The following is a 20,488-nucleotide window of genomic DNA, read 5'->3' as shown; positions in this document are numbered from 1 at the left end:
GCCTGGGTGACAGAGTGAGGTCCTGTTTTATTTTATTTTATTATTGTTTTTGAGACGGAGTCTCAGTCAGTCACCCAGGCTGGATTGCAATGGCACGACCTCGGCTCACTGCAACCTCTGATTCCCAGGTTCAAGTGATTCTCCTGACTCAACCTCCTAAGTAGCTGGAATTGCACGTACCTGCTATCATGCCTGGCTAATTTTTGTAGAGATAGGGTTTCACCATGTTGCCCAGGCTGGTCTTGAACTCCTGACCTTAGGTGATCCGAGGCCCTTTAAAAAAAATAATTCCCTGCAAAAATAAATAAATGAAGTAATCACTACTCAAGTGGCCATTTGTACATTCCAAAGATGGCCGCAACAGCATCTCCCCTCCCCAATCTCTTCCCTCTGTGACCTAGTAGTCCCTCACTGGGAGGTGGCATCTATCTCTTCCCACATTTGATCTGGGGCGGTTCTGTAACTACTTCAACCAAAACTATGTGGCACAGAGTGGAAAACAGGCGGTTCCTCAAAAAGTTAGACACAGAATCACCATATGACCCAGCAATTCCACCCCTAGGTACATACCCCAAAGACTGAGAGCAAGGACTGAAACAGATACTTATCTGCTGCTGTTCGTTGCAGCACTACTTATTTTTTGTTTGTTTGTTTTTTCTTTTTGAGACAGAGTTTCTCCCTATTGCCCAGGCTGGAGTGCAGTGGCGCAATCTTGGCTCACTTCAACCTCCACCTCCTTGGTTCAAGTGATTCTTGTGCCTCAGCCTCTCGAGTAGCTGGGATTACAGGTGTGTGCCACCAAGCCTGGTTAATTTTTGTATTTTTTTTGTAGAGATGGGTTTCATCATGGTAGCCAGGCTGGTCTTGAACTCCTGACCTCACGTGATCTGCCCACCTTGGCCTCCCAAAGTGCTGGGATTACAGGCATAAGCCACCGTGCCCTGCCAATTGCAGCACTATTCATAAAAGCCAGAAGGCCGGGCGCAGTGGCTCACGCCTGTAATCCCAACACTTCAGGAGGCTGAGGCAGGTGGATCACCTGAGGTCAGGAGTTCGAGACCAGCCTGGACAACATGGTGAAACCCCATCTCTACTAAACATACAAGAATTAGCTGGGTGTGGCGGCAGGTGCCTGTAATCCCAGCTACTTGGGAGGCTGAGGCAGGAGAATCACTTGAACCCAGGAGGCGGAGGTTGTGGTGAGCTGAGATCGTGCCATTGCACTCTAGCCTGGGGGACAAAAGTGGAACTCCGTCTCAAAGAAAAAAAAAAAAGAGCCAGAAGGGGGAAACAAACCCAAGGGTCCATGAGCATATGAGCAGATAAACAAAATGTGATCTCTCCACACAACAGAACAGAGCAATTGCTGAAGGAGGGCCATGTACTCAGTTATTCTCAACCACTCCTCCGGCAGCAGGCAAAGTTGGAACCCTAGAGCCATCAGAGAGAGTACAGTCCTACTGATCTCTGGATTTTGGACTTCTGGCCTCTAGAACTGTAAGAGAATAAACTTCCATTGTTTTGAGTCACTCAGTTTGTGACAATTTTTTTGCGGCAGCTCCAGAAAGTGAATGTATGATCTCAATGAATATTTTTACTGATCATGTCAGCTATTACTACTACCACCTCCAATGTACAAAGGATCACCTCCTGCAATTTAAAGCTTGCACAGGGTCAGGTGCGGTGGCTCACGCCTGTGATCCCAGCACTTTGGGAGGCTGACGCAGGTGGATCACTTGAGGTCAGGAGTTTGCGACCAGCCTGGCCAACATGGTGAAACCCCTTCTCTACTAAAACTACAAAAAATTAGCTGGGCGTGGTCGCTTGTACCTGTAATCCCAGCTACTCAGGAGGCTGAGGCAGGAGAATCTCTTGAACCTGGGAGGTGGAGGTTGCAGTGAGCTGCAATCACACCACTGTACTCCAGCCTGGGTGACAGAGCAAGACCCCATCTCCAAAAAAAAAACCAAAAAACAAAAAACAAACAACAAAAAACCTTTAACTTGCACAGGAGGAAAGGGAGTTTCAAATTCATACATGATTCCAAAGGCTTGGATCTGAACCCAGGCACTGACTGCAATTGCTCATGCCTGGACTGTTCCGGGCATTTCCAGATCATCCTCTCTTCCTGTCTCCACCTGAATCCAAGCCACTTCCACTTGTAATTGACTGTGGCAGCCACCTAAATGGTCTCTCTGATCCCATCGAGGTCTTGTTCAATCCACTTTGCACGGAGCAGCCATAGGGATTATTTTAAAGTGAAACACATCATGTCACTCCCTAGTTAAAAACCTACCAAACATCTCTAATTGCAGAGAGAATAAAACCCAACCTTCTAATGATGACCTCAAGTCCTCCCAACGTGGGACCTGCCATGCATCTGCTGTGTCCCTGCCTGGAATGAGTTTCCCCCGGGGCCCGAAACGGCTGTCTCATTCCTCAGCCCAAATACCACCTGCTCAGAACAGCCTTCCTTGACCCCAACTTAAAGTAGTCCCACTGCTTTCAGACCAACACATTTTATTTTTGTCACCCTTATCTGTCTCTTTCTCATTCGTTCATGATTCATCGGTCCCTCTCCGCCAGCACGCAAGCTCCTCGTCTCTTGTTCTCCTTGATTTCACAGTCGACGCGCAATGTAAGTTACATGCTGAGAGTTGGTAATTCCCTGGGACATGGATGCCTCTGGGGATGGGAGCAGCAAGCCAGTTTTCCAGGAGAAAAAATTAAAATCAATGAATGTTCACTTAACCTGAGGAGCTTCCTCCACAGGGGAAGTGGATGCCCTGGGGTCAGCTTGAAGAGGCCTGTCCAAGACCAGGCTTCTCCAATCTGCCCCCCAGGCACCCGGCTGCTGGGAACACTTCCTATTCACTCCTGTAATGGTCCCATGGGCCTATCAGCATCTATAGGCCAGAAGAAGGGCTGGCCAGAGCTCAGGGACCACAGTCAGGTTGCTGATACCAAACTTCTCTATTTATTTTTTTTTGAGACAGAGTCTCGCTGTGTCACCCAGGCTGGAGTACAGTGGCTCCACAGCTTCGGCTCACTGCAACCTCTGCCTCCTTTCAAGTGATTCTCCTGTCTCAGACTCCTGAGTAGCTGGGATTACAGGCGTGCACCACCCACGGCTAATTTTTGTATTTTTAGTAGAGACAGGGCTTCATCATGTTGGCCATGCTGGTCTTGAACACCTGACCTCAAGTGATCCGTCTGCCTCAGCCTCCCAAAGTGTTGGGATTACAGGAGTGAGCCACCACGCCTAGCCTGATCCCAAAATTTTTGAGAGTTCCCGACCAGAGGTCAGCCTTCTTCCCCAGGGTCCCCCTGCACAGTCACCCTGGCCCTTCTTTAATCCTCCTGGGTTCCCAGTGCTGTGCTGAGTCCTGGACAGAATGGAGTGCAACAGTAGGAACCTTGGATTACAGAGGTAATGGGGCCCAGGTGTTAGGGTCATGGGCTGTGCACTCAGACCTGGGTTTGAGTCCCAGCTCTGTCCTGTACTATGGCTGCAATCTTCAATAAGTTACAAAATCGAAGGCGGATTTTGGCTCAATAACTAAGAAAGCTCCTTGCCTTGGAGCGGGATCCACTCTGGAGGCTGGACGCCTTCTTGTCTAAGATGCAGGAGAGAGGCTTTAAGCATCAGGCAAAGGGACTTGGTTTAGACCCAATCAGCTCAGAGATCCCTCATAGTCCCAGGTTCTAAGGTTCTGTGCATTGTTTAATTATCCACTCCCTCGGGTCAACTGCTCTGCCCCAAGAACTGGCATTGAGCTGGTGTACTGGAGTCAAACCACTCTGTTCAGTTTCCACTGAAAACTGCTCTGTATCTCTACTGACTTCGAGTGCTATGTATTTTCAGACTTAACATCACTCCAATGCAAGGAAAATTTCTTTCCACTTAGCAGATGAGAAAACGGAGGCAAAGAAAGCCGAAAGGCCCTGTGGTGGATTAGGCTTTATCTACACTCACCCGATGCTAACTGATTTCCAGACATCACTGATGCTTTTAAACGTCTTCTGATGTAGTGGAGTAGTGCCAGTTTGCAGACTGAGAAGCTGAGGCTGACATAAGGTTGAGCAAAACTCATCCTATTCTTGCCACAAGTAAGCGGCAGTTGGGATTTGAACCAGGTCTGTCTGGCTGCCTAGTTTTTCTGCAGAATCATGAATGCAGTGCTTAGGGGTGATTCTGCAGAGGTGGAGAAACACAATCTTTACAATCATTGGGATCCTGCAGGAAATTAAAACTACAGCAAGGCGCTGGCCTCTTAACCAGTATGAACCATCTGCTTCTCATTCCAGTCTTTCAACAGAAATCTCTGAAGAGTTCTCCTCTCTCTCCCACAATGCCAGCTCCAGTGGGGAGATGTCTTGTAGACTCAGCACTTTCTCCCAAAACCGCGTAGCTTTGACATGCTGCTCTTACTTGCAAAGGACGTCCCCAAGCAAAGCTGGGGCTCTCCAGACTCGAGACCCAGAACAAAGAACTGAGCTCATAGGGACAGTCACTGATCAGACAAGGTCAAATGCCCTTGTCCCCAGGTACTAAAGGGTCATCACCTCTCAGGCTTGCTGGCCCAGTGGCTCCAGCAGAATGCTGCCAGCTGGGCCTGACAATCAAGTGAAACGTCGGGAATGGGGAGGAAGTCGGGGAAGGCAGAGTGTAGGCGGGAGCACAGAGTTCTCTGTGTGTCCCAAACCGGAACTCAGGTGTTAGGATGCGGCGGCCTGCCTTCCTTCTCCCGTGCTTCCTTCTCTGCCAGGACACAGCCCAGGACAGACACCTAAAGTTACTCCAGGGATGTCTCAGCCTTGGGAATGCACCCATCATGACTGACTCCACACTCCACTGGAATTTGAGCCGCTTTTTTCAGCAAAGTGGCAATGGCAACTGAGAACCTCAAAACAAAATCTTTCATAGCTGGCCCCAGGTGCGGTGGCTCATGCCTGTAATCCCAGCACTTTGGGAGGTTGAGGTGGGAGGATGGCTTGAGCCCAGGAGTTCCAGACCAGCTTGGGCGATATAGTGAGACCCCATCTCTACAAAAAATAAAAAAGGTAGCCAGGCATGGAGGCATGTGCCTGTGGTCCCAGCTGCTCGGGAGAATTGCTTAAGCCCAGGAGCTCAAGGCTATTGTGAGCCATTGATTGCACCACTGCACTCCAGTCTGGGTGACAGAGCAAGACCCTGTCTCAAAAACAAAACAAAACAAACAAACAAAAAACGTGCAAGGTGAATGCATGTAAAGCTGGGGAAATCTGAATAAAATGGATGGAGTGGGCCGGGCGCGGTGGCTCACGCCTGTAATCCTAGCACTTTGGAAGGCCGAGGCGGGCGGGTCAGAAGATCGAGACCATTCTGGCTAACACGGTGAAACCCTGTCTCTACTGAAAAAAAAAAAAAAAAAATCTGGGCATTGTGGCGGGCGCCTGTAGTCCCAGCTACTCGGGAAGCTGAGGCAGGAGAATGGCGTGAACCTGGGAGGCAGAGCTTGCAGTGAGCGGAGATCGTGCCACTGTACTCCAGCCTGGGTGACAGTGCGAGATTCTGTCTCAAAAAATAAACAAATAAATAAAAATAAAGAATAAAAAAATTAAAATTAAAATGGATGGACTGTATCAATGTCAGTATCTTGGTTGTGATATTGTACTCTATGGGTTAGTAAGATGGTGCCGTTGGGGAAAATAGGATGAAGGACCCATAGGATCTCTCTGTATCATTTCTTATGACTGTGTGTGAATCTACACTAATCTCAAAACAAAAAATTTACTTAAAAGAATGGGCAAAGTGAAACAAAATAAAACCCTCCAAGCAAATTCAAGACCTAAAAACAAGCTGGGCATGGTGGCTTATACTCGTAATCCCAGCACTTTGGGAAGCTGAGGCAGGCAGATCACTTGAGGTCAGGAGTTCAAGACCAGCCTGGCCAACATGGCAAAACCCAGTCTCTACTAAACATACCAAAATTAGCCCAGTATCATGGCACATGCCTATAATCCCAGCTACTCAGGAGGCCGAGGCATGAGGATCACGTGAACCCGGGAGGCGGAGGTTGCAGTGAGCTGAGATCGTGCCACTGCACTCCAGTCTGGGTGACAGAGCGACACTCAGAGTCTGTCTCAAAAAACTAAAAATAAAAAGACCTAAAAAGAGTATTCCCTTCAATAACATGGATTTGAAATGCATGGCTCCACTAATATGAGGATTTTTTTCAATAAATATACTGGAATTTTTTTTGGAGATTTGTGACAACTAGAAAAACTCAAAGACAAACTGTGTAGCCTAGAAACATTGAAAAAATTTAAGAAAAAGCTAGGTATGTCATGGATGCATAAAATATACGTAGAGGCTAATCTTGTAATTAACTGTTTATGTTACTAGTAGGCTTCAGGTTAGCCGGATGCTATTAGTAGTAAAGTTTTTGGGGAGTCAAAAGTTACACATGGAGGCTGGGCATTGTGGCTCAAGCCTGTAATCCCAACACTTTGGGAGTCTGAGGCAGGTGGATCACCTGAGGTCATGAGTTCGAGACCATCCTGGCCAACATGGTAAAACCCCATTCTCTACTAAAAATACAAAAATTAGCCAGATGTGGTGGTGTGCACCTGTAATCCCAGCTACTCAGGAGGCTGAGGCAGGAGAATCATTTGAACCTGGGAGGTGGAGATTGCAGTGAGCTGAGATTGCACCACTGCACTCCAGCCTGGGCAACAGAGTGAGGCTCCATCTCAAAAAAGAAAAAGGTACCTTTGGATCCTTCAAAGGTCTGAGCCAAGCAAAGTTCTCCTTAAATGTAGTAGGGGAAGTGTTCTTTCAGTCAGCCAGGTAGCCGAACCCCCGCACAAAGGGCAAGGCAAGAGATTTGCATGTTTGCTTGCTCCTTCAAGATAGAAATGCAGATAGCTAGCCCAGCGGAGTGCAGTGACCTTTGGCATACCATGTTCAGCAGCAAAGGTGTGAATTTGTGAGCATGCTCCATTCCCATCAGGAGGAAGAAAATATGACATGGCAAGTGCTAAGAGCTTCAGGCCCTTTTGGGGGGATTTTCCTCTCAATCCCCCTAGCAAAAAAGGTATGAGTCTGCAGTACTGGAAATGTCCTGGAATGCAGCTTCCAAGAGGCAAACCTCACCTGCTCAACTGCCTCCTTCTTAGCCATGTTGCCGAAAGCATTTTATGGACTCTATTTATTTATTTACTTATTTATTAATTATAATGTATTTTTTTGAGATAGGGTCTTGCTTTGTCGCCCAAGCTGGAGGGCAGTGGTGTGATCACAGCTCACTGCAGCCTTGATTTCCTGGGCTTATCCTCCCAACTCAGCCTCCCGGGTAGCTGGGACCACAAGCATGAACCACAGTGCCTGGCTAATTTTTTTATTTTCTGTAGGGACAAAGTCTTACTTTGTTGCCCAGACTGGTCTCTAACTCCTGGCCTTAAGTGATCCTCCCACCTTGGCGTCCCAAAGTTCTGGGATTACAGACATGAGCCCACGGCGACTGGCCCACGTTTTACTGACTCTAACATGGAACCCAGGTCCTGCCACTCTACTGGAAGGAAAGTTCAGAAGCCCGATAAGAACCAGTCACCAGGGACAAGGTACTGAAAACAGGTGTGGTTCGTAACAGAAACTTCCTGTGAAAACACTGGAAGGGGTATAGAAGTTGTGCTCTTTTATTCAGGGTTTTGCAACCTCAGCACTATTGACTTTTGGGGCCAGGTAATTCTTTGTTGCGGAGGGAGGAGTTAGAATGGTTAGCAGAATCCCTGGCCTCTGCCCACCAGATGCCAGTAGCATTCTTCATTCCCCCACCAGTTGTAACAACCAAAAGCATCTCCAGACCTTGCCAAAAGTCCCTTGGCACTGGGCGCGGTGGCTCACACCTGTAATCCCAGCACTTTGTGAGGCTGAGGGCAGAGGATCGCCTGAGATCAGGAGTTTGAGACCCGCCTGGCCAACATGGCGAAACCCCCTCTCTATTAAAAATACAAAAATGTTGCCGAGTGTGGTGGTGCACGACTGTAATTCCAGCTACTCAGGAAGCTGAGGCAGGAGAATTGCTTGAACCCAGGAGGCAGAGATTGCATTGAGCCAAAATTGTGCCACTGCACTCCAACCTAGGCAACAGAGTGAGAGTCTGTCTTGGAAAAAAAAAAAAGTTCCCTGGGGAGCACAGTTGCAGCAGAGAACCCTGCTCTCCAGGAAATGTGGCAGGTTATCTGCTCCAATGTGATGTATTAACTGCAGGCAGGTGCAAGTGTTCAGGTGAAGGGGTTCAAATCCCAACTCCCTCACTTGGTTTCTGAGGACCTGGTGCAAGTTCTGTAATAGCCCCTCATCTGTAAAATGGGTTTGAAACCACATCAAAGGGTTATTGTGGGGTTCCCAGAGAGGGTACTCATAGTACACAGTATATTACCAAGCACTAAGTAGATAATAAACAGAGGAGGTGTGGCTGTAGCATCAAGCTATGTGCCAATATGGGCAAGTGTGGTTTGACGAAGGGAGAGCTTAACTGAAATCTGTATTCTATTTTTCAGGGTTTTTTTTTTTCCCCCAACACACTGCCAATACTTATTCTAAAAATTCTAAAACAACATTATTTCCCCCAGGCTCTAAAACCTCCCTGAAGCAGTGTTAACTCCTGGCTTCTTCATACATTCATTTGCAAACAAATTCCCACCTTGAAAACCCACAAAGAACACAGCGGCCACCTACATTCATGAAAACAACATCAATCCTGTCCGCTATGTTTGGCTCTCCTGTCCTGGAACAAGGGGCAGACCCATTTAATGAGATTTTGGGTGCTGGTGTATATTCAACTTCCTCCCCACAATTCTATAGAAACCCAGCAGATATTTACCTTGATGAAAACCTTCTTAATTACTCCACTTGGTGCAGAAAGAACCAAAACCCCATGTTGGCTGCCAAATTTAAAAGGCACTGCCGAGAATGAGATGAGGGTCTTAGATCTGGATAAATCATCGGATCCGCTCAAGGCACAGATTGGAAACATCTCAGAATCCTGTCCTACTCCCCAGAAATGTTGTCATTCTGTACGTAAAATTCCTGATGAGTATGACTCACTCTATATTTTGAAAAGGAAAAAAGTACCACAAAAAATGTAGAAAAATATATTGTTGGAGACTTTTATATTTGCCCTTTGGAAGGTGTGTGGTCTTAGGCAAGTGACTTAAGCTCTCTAAGCTTCTGTGTTCTTATCCATAGAGTAGGAATCATGCCTCCACGGGTGAGGAGTAGAGATGATGGTGAATGAGGAGAAACAGTTCAAGTTCACAGCACTGCGGCTGGCACCAGGTCCACCTTAAGGGACACTCCAGCAAGCAAGACACTCGCCAGGCTGGGGAGAAAAGAGTTCCAGACCTGAGATGGTGCCAGGCAGATGCTGCTGCTGCCAGAACCTGGGCTGACTGCACAGTAAAACTGTTGCTTCCACTGCTAGCAAAAATGAAATGTTCAGTGCCAGGAGCTGGGAGATGAAGCTTAATAAAACTGATGTGTCACTCCAGGGGTTGCCATACACATTCTTCTCCTGCCAAGAAGCAACCCTAGTTGTGCTGAAAAGGCTCTTGGAACTACCCTAAATCTGGAATATTCAAGGTGACTCTTGTTATTGTTCTTAGGATAGTTGTTCTAGGTATAAAAACCAGCTGTTGAATGTAGTTTAAAGGCCTTGAGGTCTGGTCCCTATCACCATTCCAATTTCTGTGCATAGCACCTTCCTGACTCTGGGTTTGGCCACGAGGATCTACTGTTTGTCCTGGGAAGGCTTCTACTCAGTCTTTGCAGATGCTGTTCCCACCACCCAAAATGCTTTTCCCTTGCTTCTGATTCCTTCATTTCTACTCACACTTCTGATATCAGTTCATGACTCACTTTCTCAGAGAAGACTTCCCTGAACCTCTCCCACCAGATCAAATCTTCCTTTTAGCACAGAATCCTACACAGCTCCCCTTTGTGGCCCCATCACATTCATATGTTACCTCTATTTGTGGAATTATTTGGTTCATGTCTTGTCACTTATAAGACTATACACTTTAAGGTAGAAGTTGTGCATATGATTAGACTTGAATTCCCATCATGATACCATCTGGCACTGTACTGGAAGCCCAATACATTTTTGTCAAATTGTTAGTAAGTCTTGATTGGTGCAGTCTCTTTAGAGGGCAACGAGGCAATGCCTATCATATTCTAAGGCTACAGCAGTCAAGATGTGGTATGGGGGCAAAGATTAAACACACGGATTAATAGAACCGAACAGAGAATAGAAACACATACATGCATATATGGACACTTGATTTTTGACAATGGAGGCAGTGATACTGGGCCAAATGAACTATCTATGTAGGAAAAAATTAATCATGATTCTACCTAATACAATACATAAAAATCAACCCTAGGTGGATGCTGGAGATAAATATGAAAGGCAAAACATGAAAGCTTCCAGAAGATAATAGAAGAAACAACACAAATGACGTTGAACTTTTTTTTTTTTTTTTTTGAGACAGGGTCTCACTCTATCACCCAGGCTGGAGTGCAGTGGTGCAATCTCGGCTCACTGCAACCTCTGCCTTCTGGGTTCAAGTGATTCTCCTGCCTCAGCCTCCCAAGTAGCTGGGACTAAAGGCACCTGCCACCACGCCCGGCTAATTTTTTTGTGTATTTTTAGTACAGATGGAATTTCACTATGGTGGCCAGGCTGGTCTCGAACTCCTGACCTCGTGATCCACCTGCCTTGGCCTCCCAAAGTGTTGGGATTACAGGTGTGAGATACCATGCCCAGCTGGACTTCTTAAGTAGGACACAAAAAGCATTAACCATAAAGGAAGACCAGGCTTGGTGGCTCATGCCTGTAATCCCGGCACTTCAGGAGGCTGAGATGGGAGGATCACTTGAGGCCAAGAGTTTGAGACTAGCCTGGGCAACATAGTAAGACCCTGGCCTTGGTGACTATTTGCCTCTAATGAGGCAAAGGGGTCCACAGGATGGGGATGAGGGAGAAAAATTTACTTTTTTTTCTGTAGATTGAGTTGCAGTGTTTGAGTGTTTTACCACGTGCCATGATTGCCTATTCAAAAAGTAAATTGTTAAAAAAACAGAGTAAGTCTATACAGACTTGAGGAATAAAGGTACAGGAAGGGAAGGAGGAGGGCTTCTAAGTCCCTGGCCCTGGGAGGTCCTCCAATAACCCCATGTTTGGAGACTTAGGTTTTGGAGCCAGGCAGATCCTAGTTCAAGTCCTGTTTCAACTTCTTGCTACCTCTGTGACCTTGGTGAAGAAGCTTAAAAGAAGAAGACCTTTCCCACCTTACTAAGAGGTTAAAAATGAGATAGTCCAAGTAGTACCCAGTGTTACCCAGTGTCTTGTAGGTAGGAAGCATTCAACTTTTGGCCGGGTGCGGTGGCTCATGCCTATAATCCCAGCACTTTGGGAGGATTGCTTGAGGCCAGGAGTTTGAGACCAGCCTTGGCAACATAGCAAGACCTTGCCTCTACAAAAAAAATAAAAAATAAGTAAAATAGCGGGGCAGGGAACGGGCCTATAGTTCCAGCTACTGGGGAGGCTGAGGCAGGAGGATCCCTTGAGCCTAGAGGCCGAGGCTGCAGTAAGCTACGATGGTGCCAGTGCACTCCAGCTTGAGCAACAGAGTGAGACCCCTGTCTCTTAAAAAAAAAAAAGAGCATTCAACTCTTATCATCCAGTTTTCCAATTTAACAACCATTCATATAATGTTTCAAAAGGTAGTTTTGTTGTTGCCATTTTACAGGTGAGGAAACTGAGGCCTGGACAGAAATCACTGGCTCCCGGGCACTCAGGGAGCCAGCAGCACAGCTGCTTTCCAGACTCAGGACTTTCCCCTGATCTCACAGGTCTAAGACACAGGCCTCAGCCCAAGCCCCACCACAGGCCTTTCAGGGGATGCACCGCGTGGGACCTGATGGATGACCCGCAAATGATCTGATTTGTTGACAGGTGGCTGCTGCTGGAAGGACTGCTCAGTCCAAACAAACAGCAAGCTGCTCAGCTTCTGTTTTTGTTTTGTTTTTTGTTTTTTGAGATGGAGTCTCACTCTGTCGCCAGGCTGGAGTGCGGTGGCGCGATCTCGGCTCATTGCAACCTCCGACTCCCTGGTTCAAGCTATTCTCCTGCCTCAGCCTCCCGTGTGGCTGGGATTACAGGCATGCGCCACAACACCCAGCTAATTTTTTTTGTATTTGTAGTAGAGACGGGGTTTCACCGTGTTGACCAGGATGGTCTCCATCTCCTGACCTCGTGATTCGCCCGCCTCAGCCTCCCAAAGTGCTGGGATTACAGACCGGAGCTCAGCTTCTGAAGAACCCGGAAGAGCGGGACCCAAGACTAGCACCTGCTCCGTGGGAGGGCAGGCGGCCAAGTGCTCTCGGCAAACACTTTCCGTCCAGATGTGCGTCCCCACCTCAGGGTCACTGTTTCCCTCTCTCTCCACAATGCACCCACCATCTCTTCCTCTCAAGGGAAAAAAAACAGACTAGACCCAACCTGGCTCACCTATGATCCGGGAGTGGTTCAGCAAGCTTCAGCATGCCTTCACCTCCACCCATCCAAGGCCACTCTGCACTTCCAAAGCCCCTGAGTACAAACAAGGTTGGCCTTGCACTCCACACCCTGTCTCTGGGGCTAAGGAAAGCACTTTCAGACTTTCTCCACATACCATCAGTTCATATTCAGCATTGATGACTTTTCAAGTCTTTCTCATTTGCAGGGGTAGTTCATTTCCCAAACTCTGCTGTGATCATTAGGTGCAAAGACATTATTGCACCCTTTGATGGAGGAGTAAACTGAGGTCAGAGCCAGCAGTGGGCATATGCAGAGGCGTCCATGTGGGTCAGTCCTAGACACCAGGGCTCCAGAGTCTTCAAGCCTCGGTTTCTCACTAGAAATGCTCCCTTCAGTAGGAGACCCTGGGCGAGTCAGTCATCCTTTCTGAGTTTCCATTTCCTGTCTCTGAAATCTGATCAGCCTTTCCTCATAGGGCTGTTGTGAGCGACAAGGTGAGCAACTACACACAAATACACAGCCAATGTGAGTGGCTACTACTCATGGGTCATTGTCATTATCATGGGTAAAGCTGGAGCCAAAACTCTGTCCAGGGTTCTCTGCATGTTTTCTCCCACTCACCCTGCCAGCCTGCCTCTGAATCCCTCCTGGAACCTGTCCCCAGGTCAGAATGTCCACACTCTTCTGTGTGTGGCTCTTTTTTGAGCCCTGCTTCCAGCCCCTTGCAGGACTGGACACTTAGGGCTGGGGCAGGATGCCAGGCATGCAAATTTGCATGCAGGCATTCATTTGCACAAATGCTCCTTGGTGTGTGCATTTTCAGCCTGTCCCCAGACCGGCGCTCAGCCTGCGAAGCCAGCAGAGTGCTATTTACAGCTCTGGGCAGAGAGAGGAGGCAGGCTTTGTTCCCGTGCACAAAACAGCCCTGTCCTGCCGGGGTGGTGCCTTGCTCTTTTGGCTGGTGTTCAGCCAACCTTGCCCTGAAGGAGCTTCCACGTTCTAAAACCTTTTGCAGGAAGGTCAGCAATCTGCCCCTGGGATTGGCTGTTTCCCTAAGGAAATCTGAGCTCAAAGGCTAGTGGGAGAAGGTGTCTGTCTACTCTCCATTCAGCTTCCAGGAGGATCTTTCTCAAGTGATAACAAAATCACATCACTGCCTTGCTTTAATCTCTTCCATGGTTCCCTATGGGTCTCTGAGTCAAGTCCAAATTCAAGATCATGGGTCACCTGGCGGGACATGATCTACTCTTCCTACAGCCTCCTCTTGCCACTCCTCATCCACCCATGCCTCTCCATCACTTGAACATTGGTTTTTTGTTTTTTTGTTTTTTCGATGTTGCTGTTGTTTGTTTTTTTGTTTTTGTTTTGAGACAGGGTTTTGCTCTGTTGCCCAGGCTGGAGTGCAGTGGCGTAATCTTGGCTCACTGCAACCTCCGCCTCCCGGGTTCAAGCGATTCTCCTGCCTCAGCCTCCCAAGTAGTTGGGACTACAGGCGCAGGCTGCCACGCCAGGCTAATTTTTTTTTTTGTATTTTTAGCAGAGACAGGGTTTCGCTGTGTTGCCCAAGTTGGTCGCGAACTCCTGAGCTCAGGCAATCTGCCTGCCTCGGCCTCCCAAAGTGCTGGATTACAGGCGAGAGCCACCACACCCGGCGTAACATTGTTTTTATAGAAAAAGAGTTATGCACTACCTACTTACAACACAAATTTTTGGATTATCTGATTCTAGCCTTGTTCACTTGTTCATTATTATTGTTATTTTGAGACAGGGTCTCCATTGCTCAAGCTGGAGTGCAATGGCGTGATCCTGGCTCACTGCAACCTCCCCTTCCCAGGCTCAAGTGATTCTTGTGCCTCAGCCTCCCGAGTAGTTGGCACTATAGGCACGCACCACCATGCTTGACCAATTTTTTGTATTTTTGGTAGAGACAGGGTTTCACCATGTTGCCCAAGGTGGTCTCGAACTCCTGAGCTCAAGCAATCTGTCCACCTCGGCCTCCCAAAGTGCTAGGATTGCAGGCATGAACCACCATGCCTGGCCTTGTTCATTATTTTCAAACTACTTTGCTGACTCCTTTGTAAGTTGTAGAAAACTGATAGACAAGCAAATTCTGCCTTGTCCAACCATGTTTGCCTCTGTTTTGAATCTATTTAGACCTCCCTTTACTCTTTACATATTTGTGCTTTATTTGACTTTTCCTTTGAACTGGTTCTAATGTCTGCCTGGTTCCCTCATTGAATGAGCCTAATAAAATCATTGAGTGTTTTTGTATCTGTATGAGATTCATGATTTTACCCTCCACCTTTTTTTTTTTTTTTTTGAGACAGGATCTCACTCTGTTGTCCACGCTGGAGTGCAGTGGCATGATTATGGCTCAGTGCAGCCTGGCTCGGCCTCCTTGACTCAAGCGACCCTCCTGCCTCAGCCTCCTGAGTAGCTGGGACTACAGGTGCACATTACCACACCTGGCTAATTTTTAAAATTTTTTGTAGAGAAGGGGTCTTGAGGGGTCTTGCTATGTTGCCCAGGCTGGTCTCAAACTCCTGGGCTCAAGTAATCTTCCTGCCTCAGCTTCCTGAGTAGTTGGGACTACAAGCATGCATCACCATGCCCGGCTAATTTTAGTATTTTTTGTAGAGGCGGGGTTTGGCCATGTTGGCCAGGCTGGTCTTGAACTCCTGGGTTCAAGTGATCCACCCACCTCGGCCTCTCAAAGCGCTGGGATTGCAGGTGCGAGCCACCATACGCTGTCTATCCTTCCTTTTTCCCCTGCGATTTTCTTGGAACGGCTTCCTATGAACTCTCTGGGCCTGTTCATGATGCTCTCCCTGCACAGAGTCTCTTTCTCTTCTTTTCTGCCTTTTCCTCCTGAAATTTCTTCCCTAGAATCCCCAGGAACAGGGAGTGGTAACCTCTTTTTACTTTGAGCTTGAACCTGTATTCACTCCCACACACCTTCGGCACTCTCCTCACTGTGTGGTCCTTGTTTTGGGGCCTGTTTCCGCATGGCTAGTCTAGAAGAGGCGCTGGTGTAGTAGCTGAGTCTTTGTCTCTCCCTCCATCTCTCTCTCTCTCTCTGTCTCTCTCACACACACAGACACATAGACACGCACACACCCCTACTACTGTACACAGCACATGGAAATCATGCAATAAATGAACACACTCATTGACGAATGAATGCCAGATGGCTACGTCTGTCCACTCCAGATAAGCCATCAAAAGGGAGGCCTGGCTTTTCTTGTTCAATACTATAGATACCAGACAACCATGCCTGGAGTCTAGTAAGTACTCAATAAACACTGGTTGGATGAACAAAAGAATACAACTTAAGTTCTTGTTCTTGCATCACTTTCAAGTCATCTCCCCTTTCTCCAGTTTCAGAGGACAGACCTAAGTAGCTTCAGAATGCTCCCCCTACACCCCATATTTTCAGTATCATAGCAGCATTTCAGTTCTTTTCTCTCTCTCTCTCTCTCTTTTTTTTTTTTAGAAACAGGGTTCCACTATGTTGCCCAGGCTGGAGTGCAGTAGCTATTTACAGGCATAATTCCACTACCGATCAGCACAGGAGTTTTGACCTGCTCTGTTTCTGACCTGGGCTGGTTCACCCCTTCTTAGGCAAGCTGGTGGTCCTCCACTCCCAGGAGGTCACCATATTGATGCCGAACTAATGCAGACACCTGACTGGTATAGTACAGTACGGCCCAGAACTCCTGGGTTCAAGCAATCCTCTTGCCTCAGCCTCCCGAGTAGCTGGGACTACAGGCATGTGCCGCCCTGCTCAGTGGATACAGCATTTCAATCCTCTTGATCCCATTCCCTTTAAGGAGTGGAGAGTGATCTCCACTCTGCTTTCATGGTCATCGTGTGACCTTGGGCAAGGCACTGCTCCTCTGGGCTTCTGGTTTCCCACGGGTAAAGCGAGGCCAGTGTAGACATTTCAAGAGATAACGTCAGGCAAAGGTACAAATGGCCAGTAATGCCTGAAAGATGCTTCAGCTCAGGCACCAATTACATGGTAACAGATGCTGTCAATGTAACTTATCAGCAAAGCTATCCCTAGCTTAGCTCTGAGTGTGGGGTTTACAGATCTGTCTAAAATACGCTTCTCAAACTTAAAAGTGCACACAAATCACCCCAGGGGATATTGTTAAAACGCAGATTCACATTCTGTAGTTCTGGGTGGGGCCCAAGATTCTGCATTTCTAGCTAGCTCCTAGAAGATGCAATGCTGCTGGCCGCTGGACCACACTTTCAGTAGTAAGGTACTAGAATACAGTGGGTCCCACCTTTGAAGGAATTCTCAGTGCAGCCCAGGGACAGAGTGCTGGCAAGTTGCTGATATCCAAGATAATAGATGTTAGCACCTAAATGGGAGATGCTGGCAGTGAAGATTACGGGACCTCTGGACAAGGACAAGGTTGGCAGGGGTCGGGGGCTGGTCCAGGATTCCTAGAGAACATGGAAATAGAGTTGGGAGCATTCTGGCCGCCGGTGATTCTACTAAATCATAATTCTGGTGGGCAGGGGCATCAATCTGTGTTTTAACAAGCTCTTGAGGGGATTCTGATGCTAAAGTTTGAAAAACACTGTGCTAGACAGAGATAAAGGGGCAGGCTACTCTGGTTGGAAGAATAGCGTTCTGTTTTCCCACAGTGGAATTTGTAAATTGGATTCATTTATTCATCCATTCATTCACACATGTATCCATCAATCTAGCCAACCAACAAAGGGGTTGTGTCTGTCCATCCATGCATCCATCTACACCCCCAGCCATCCAACATCCAACAAATACATCCTGAATGCCTCCTCTGTGTGTGTGTGTGTGTGTGTGTGTGTGTGTGTGTGTGTGTATCCTGTTAGGCACAAGCAATCTGATTGAAATTATAGATATACACGGCTGTCTTAGCCTCTAACCGGTGATTCTCAACCAGGGGCAATCTTGTTCCCCAGGGGACACTTCATAATGCCTGGAGACATTTCTGGCTGTCACAACGTGGAGGAAGGTATGTTGCCAGCGTCTGGTGGGTGGAGGCCAAGAATGCTGCTAAACATCCGGCACAGGACAGCCTCGCTTCCACGTCAGTAGTATAGAGGTGGGCCAGGAGAGGTGGCTCAGCCTGTAATCCCAGCACTTTGGGAGGCCGAGGCGGGTGGATCACCTGAGGTCACAAGTTCAAGACCAGCCTGGCCAACATGGTGAAACCCTGTCTCCACTAAAAATACAAAAATTAGCTGAGTGTGGTGGCGGGTGCCTGTAATCCCAGCTACTCAGGATGCTGAGGCAGGAGAATCGCTTGAACCCGGGAGGCAGAAGTTGCAGTGAGCTGAGATTGCACCACTGCACCCCAGCCTGGGCAACAGAGCAAGACTCCATCTCAAAAAAAAAAAAAAAAAAGATAGCAGTCATTGGATTAGGGGCCACTCTAATGCAGAAAGACCTCATTTCAACCTAACTATTTCTGCAAAGTCTCTATTTCCAAATTAGGTCCTATTCATAGGTTCCAGGTAAACATGATCATGCCACTGCACTCCAGCCTGGGCAACAGAGCAAGACTCCCTCTCAAAAAAAAAAAAAAAAGTGTAGAGGCTGAGAAACTTTGCAGTAGACTGTGAGTTCCTGATAGGCAGGAACTGGTGGTATTCCCAGGATCACAAGATAGTGTGTGACCTACAGGAGCTGAGCAAATATTTAAGTGGATGAAGAAATAGTGACACAAAGAAACATTTATTTATATAAAGAACTCTGGGCCAGGCGAGGCAGTTCACACTTGTAATCCCAGCACTTTGGGAGGCCGAGGTGGGAGAATCGCTTGATCCTAGGAGTTCAAAACCAGCCTGGGCTACATAGGGAGACTCCATCTCAACAACAACAAAAAAATGCTTTTTAAAAAATTAGCCAGGTGTGGTGGCACCTGTTGTGCCAGTTACTTGGAAGACTGAGGCAGAAGGATTGTTTGAGCTTGGGAAGTCAAGGCTGCAGTAAGCTATGATCATGCCACTGCACTCCAGCTTGGGTGACAGACAGGGTGAGACTCTGTCTCAAAAAAAAAAATAGATAAATAAAAAGAAAAAGAAAAAGAGAAAAGAAGAACTCTTACAGCTCAAGAACAAAAAGACAAAAAGACAACTCAATTCAAAAATGGGCAAAGAACTTGAGTAGACATTTCTCTGAAGATAATATACAAATAAGCAACAAACACATAAGATGCTCAATGCCATCAGTCATTAGGGAAATGCAAATCAAAACCACAATGTGGTATTGCTTCACACCTGCCACAGTGACCCCAATGATAATAATCAAAAAATGGAGGTCGGGCGCAGTGGCTCATGCCAGTAATCCCAGCACTTTGGGAAGCCGAGGCAGGCGGATCACTTGAGGTCAGTAGTTCAAGACCAGCCTGGCCAACATGGTGAAACCCCGTCTCTACTAAAAATACAAAAAAATTAGCCGGGCGTGGTTGTGGCCCACACATGTAATCCCAGCTACTTGGGAGGCTGAGTCAGAATTGCCTGAACCCAGGAGGCAGAGGTTGCAGTAAGCCGAGATCACACCACTGCACTCCAGCCTGGGTGACAGAGCAAGATTCCCCCTGCCCCCCAAAAAAATACATAAAAATAAAATGATGAAAATGGTCAATTTCATGTTATGTGTATTTTACCCCAATTTAAAAAATACTTTTCTGCATTCAGTCAATGCTCCTTGAATATCTACTGTGTGCATAGGGAAGTGTGCTATGCATTTAAGACACAAGAATAAATGTGATGGATGTGATGGCTGCTTCCAGGCAATTATGGATTGGGAAGAAATCCAGCAAACAGTGATGGACCCAAGAAATCTAGGATGTGATGGACCCAGGAAGAATAGGATGTGGCAGACCCAGGAAGTCTAGGATGTGGATGACAGGAGTTGGGAGGAGGAGAAATGGTTTTCCTGGCTGGAGGTGGGGGAGGGTCGGGGAAGACTACCTGTAAAAGACGCAATGTGAGATAGCTTTTGAAGGAGGAGGAAAACTTGCCCTTGGAGAGTCAATCTTATTATTGAAGGGATGTGTAATTAGAGGCCACATGATGCCATCCCATCCCTGCAACGGGCAAGACAGTTTAATGTGTGGAGTGTCTAGAGAAAGCAAGGATGGTTAGACCCCAGGGAGGAAGAGCTATAGCACAGACCCCCTCAGAATGCTCTCCCAGGCTTTCTGTTAAAAGCTCCTGCAGCAGAGTGGTCATGGTGGATCAGAGGGCAAAGTGAAGAAGTGAGGACAACTGATTCAGCCTGCTAAGCATTCTTGGGGCCTCAGGAGCCCCCACTGTCCTTTCTGAGGCTTTTGTCTTCTGCATCCTGGCAAGGAGCAGGCAAGCAGAGAAAAAGGCAGGAGAGACCAGGGCTCGTGTTAATTAAGCACCTACTAAGTACTGGGGGTCGGAACACATGGTTTTATGTAATCCTCACAGCGGCCCAATGAGAGAGGTTCTACTATTGCCTCCTCCTTCTACCTTTTTTTTTTTTTTTGGCTTTCATGTTTTTTCCTTTGCCTTTTAGCTATTTTAAAGTTAGAGAAATGAGGCACTGAGAGTTAAAGTGGCTGGCCTGAGGTCATCACGTGGGTGGAAGCCTGATTCAGGTGAGGTCAGTCTGACACCAGGATCCCTCTAGGTGCTCAGAGAAGGAATTTCCCCACAGTAAGGAAGGAGGCTTGGCCTGCTGAGATGAGCCTCAGATTCCTGTCTCTTGGCCCCGTAACTATCAGCAAACTCAAAGCTGAATTTCACCACTGGCAACTTCTGGTGTTAGCAAGTCTCTCAACCTCTGTGGGTTGTGCTCTATTCATTTTAATTTTTATCTTATGATTAATTATTTACAGTGTCCCTTTGTTGCCCAGGTTGGAGTGCAGTGGCTCACTCACAACTCACTGCAG

The 20,488-nt window shown here is 47.4% G+C and overlaps 1 protein-coding gene and 1 pseudogene across 12 annotated transcripts in view; both read right to left on the bottom strand.

The window, feature by feature from the left end:
• ABAT (4-aminobutyrate aminotransferase) overlaps positions 1-20,488 on the bottom strand; it is a 109,954-nt gene that overhangs the window by 84,962 nt on the left and 4,504 nt on the right. The gene's annotated exons all lie outside the window — the stretch shown is intronic.
• On the bottom strand, positions 16,058-16,350 carry RN7SL743P (RNA, 7SL, cytoplasmic 743, pseudogene; annotated as a pseudogene).

This window comes from Homo sapiens, chromosome 16 (assembly GCF_000001405.40).
Source record: "Homo sapiens chromosome 16, GRCh38.p14 Primary Assembly".
Lineage (NCBI taxonomy): Eukaryota > Metazoa > Chordata > Mammalia > Primates > Hominidae > Homo > Homo sapiens.
The sequence above is the reverse complement of the archived record's forward strand: the minus strand, read 5'-3'. Positions and strand labels throughout refer to the sequence as shown.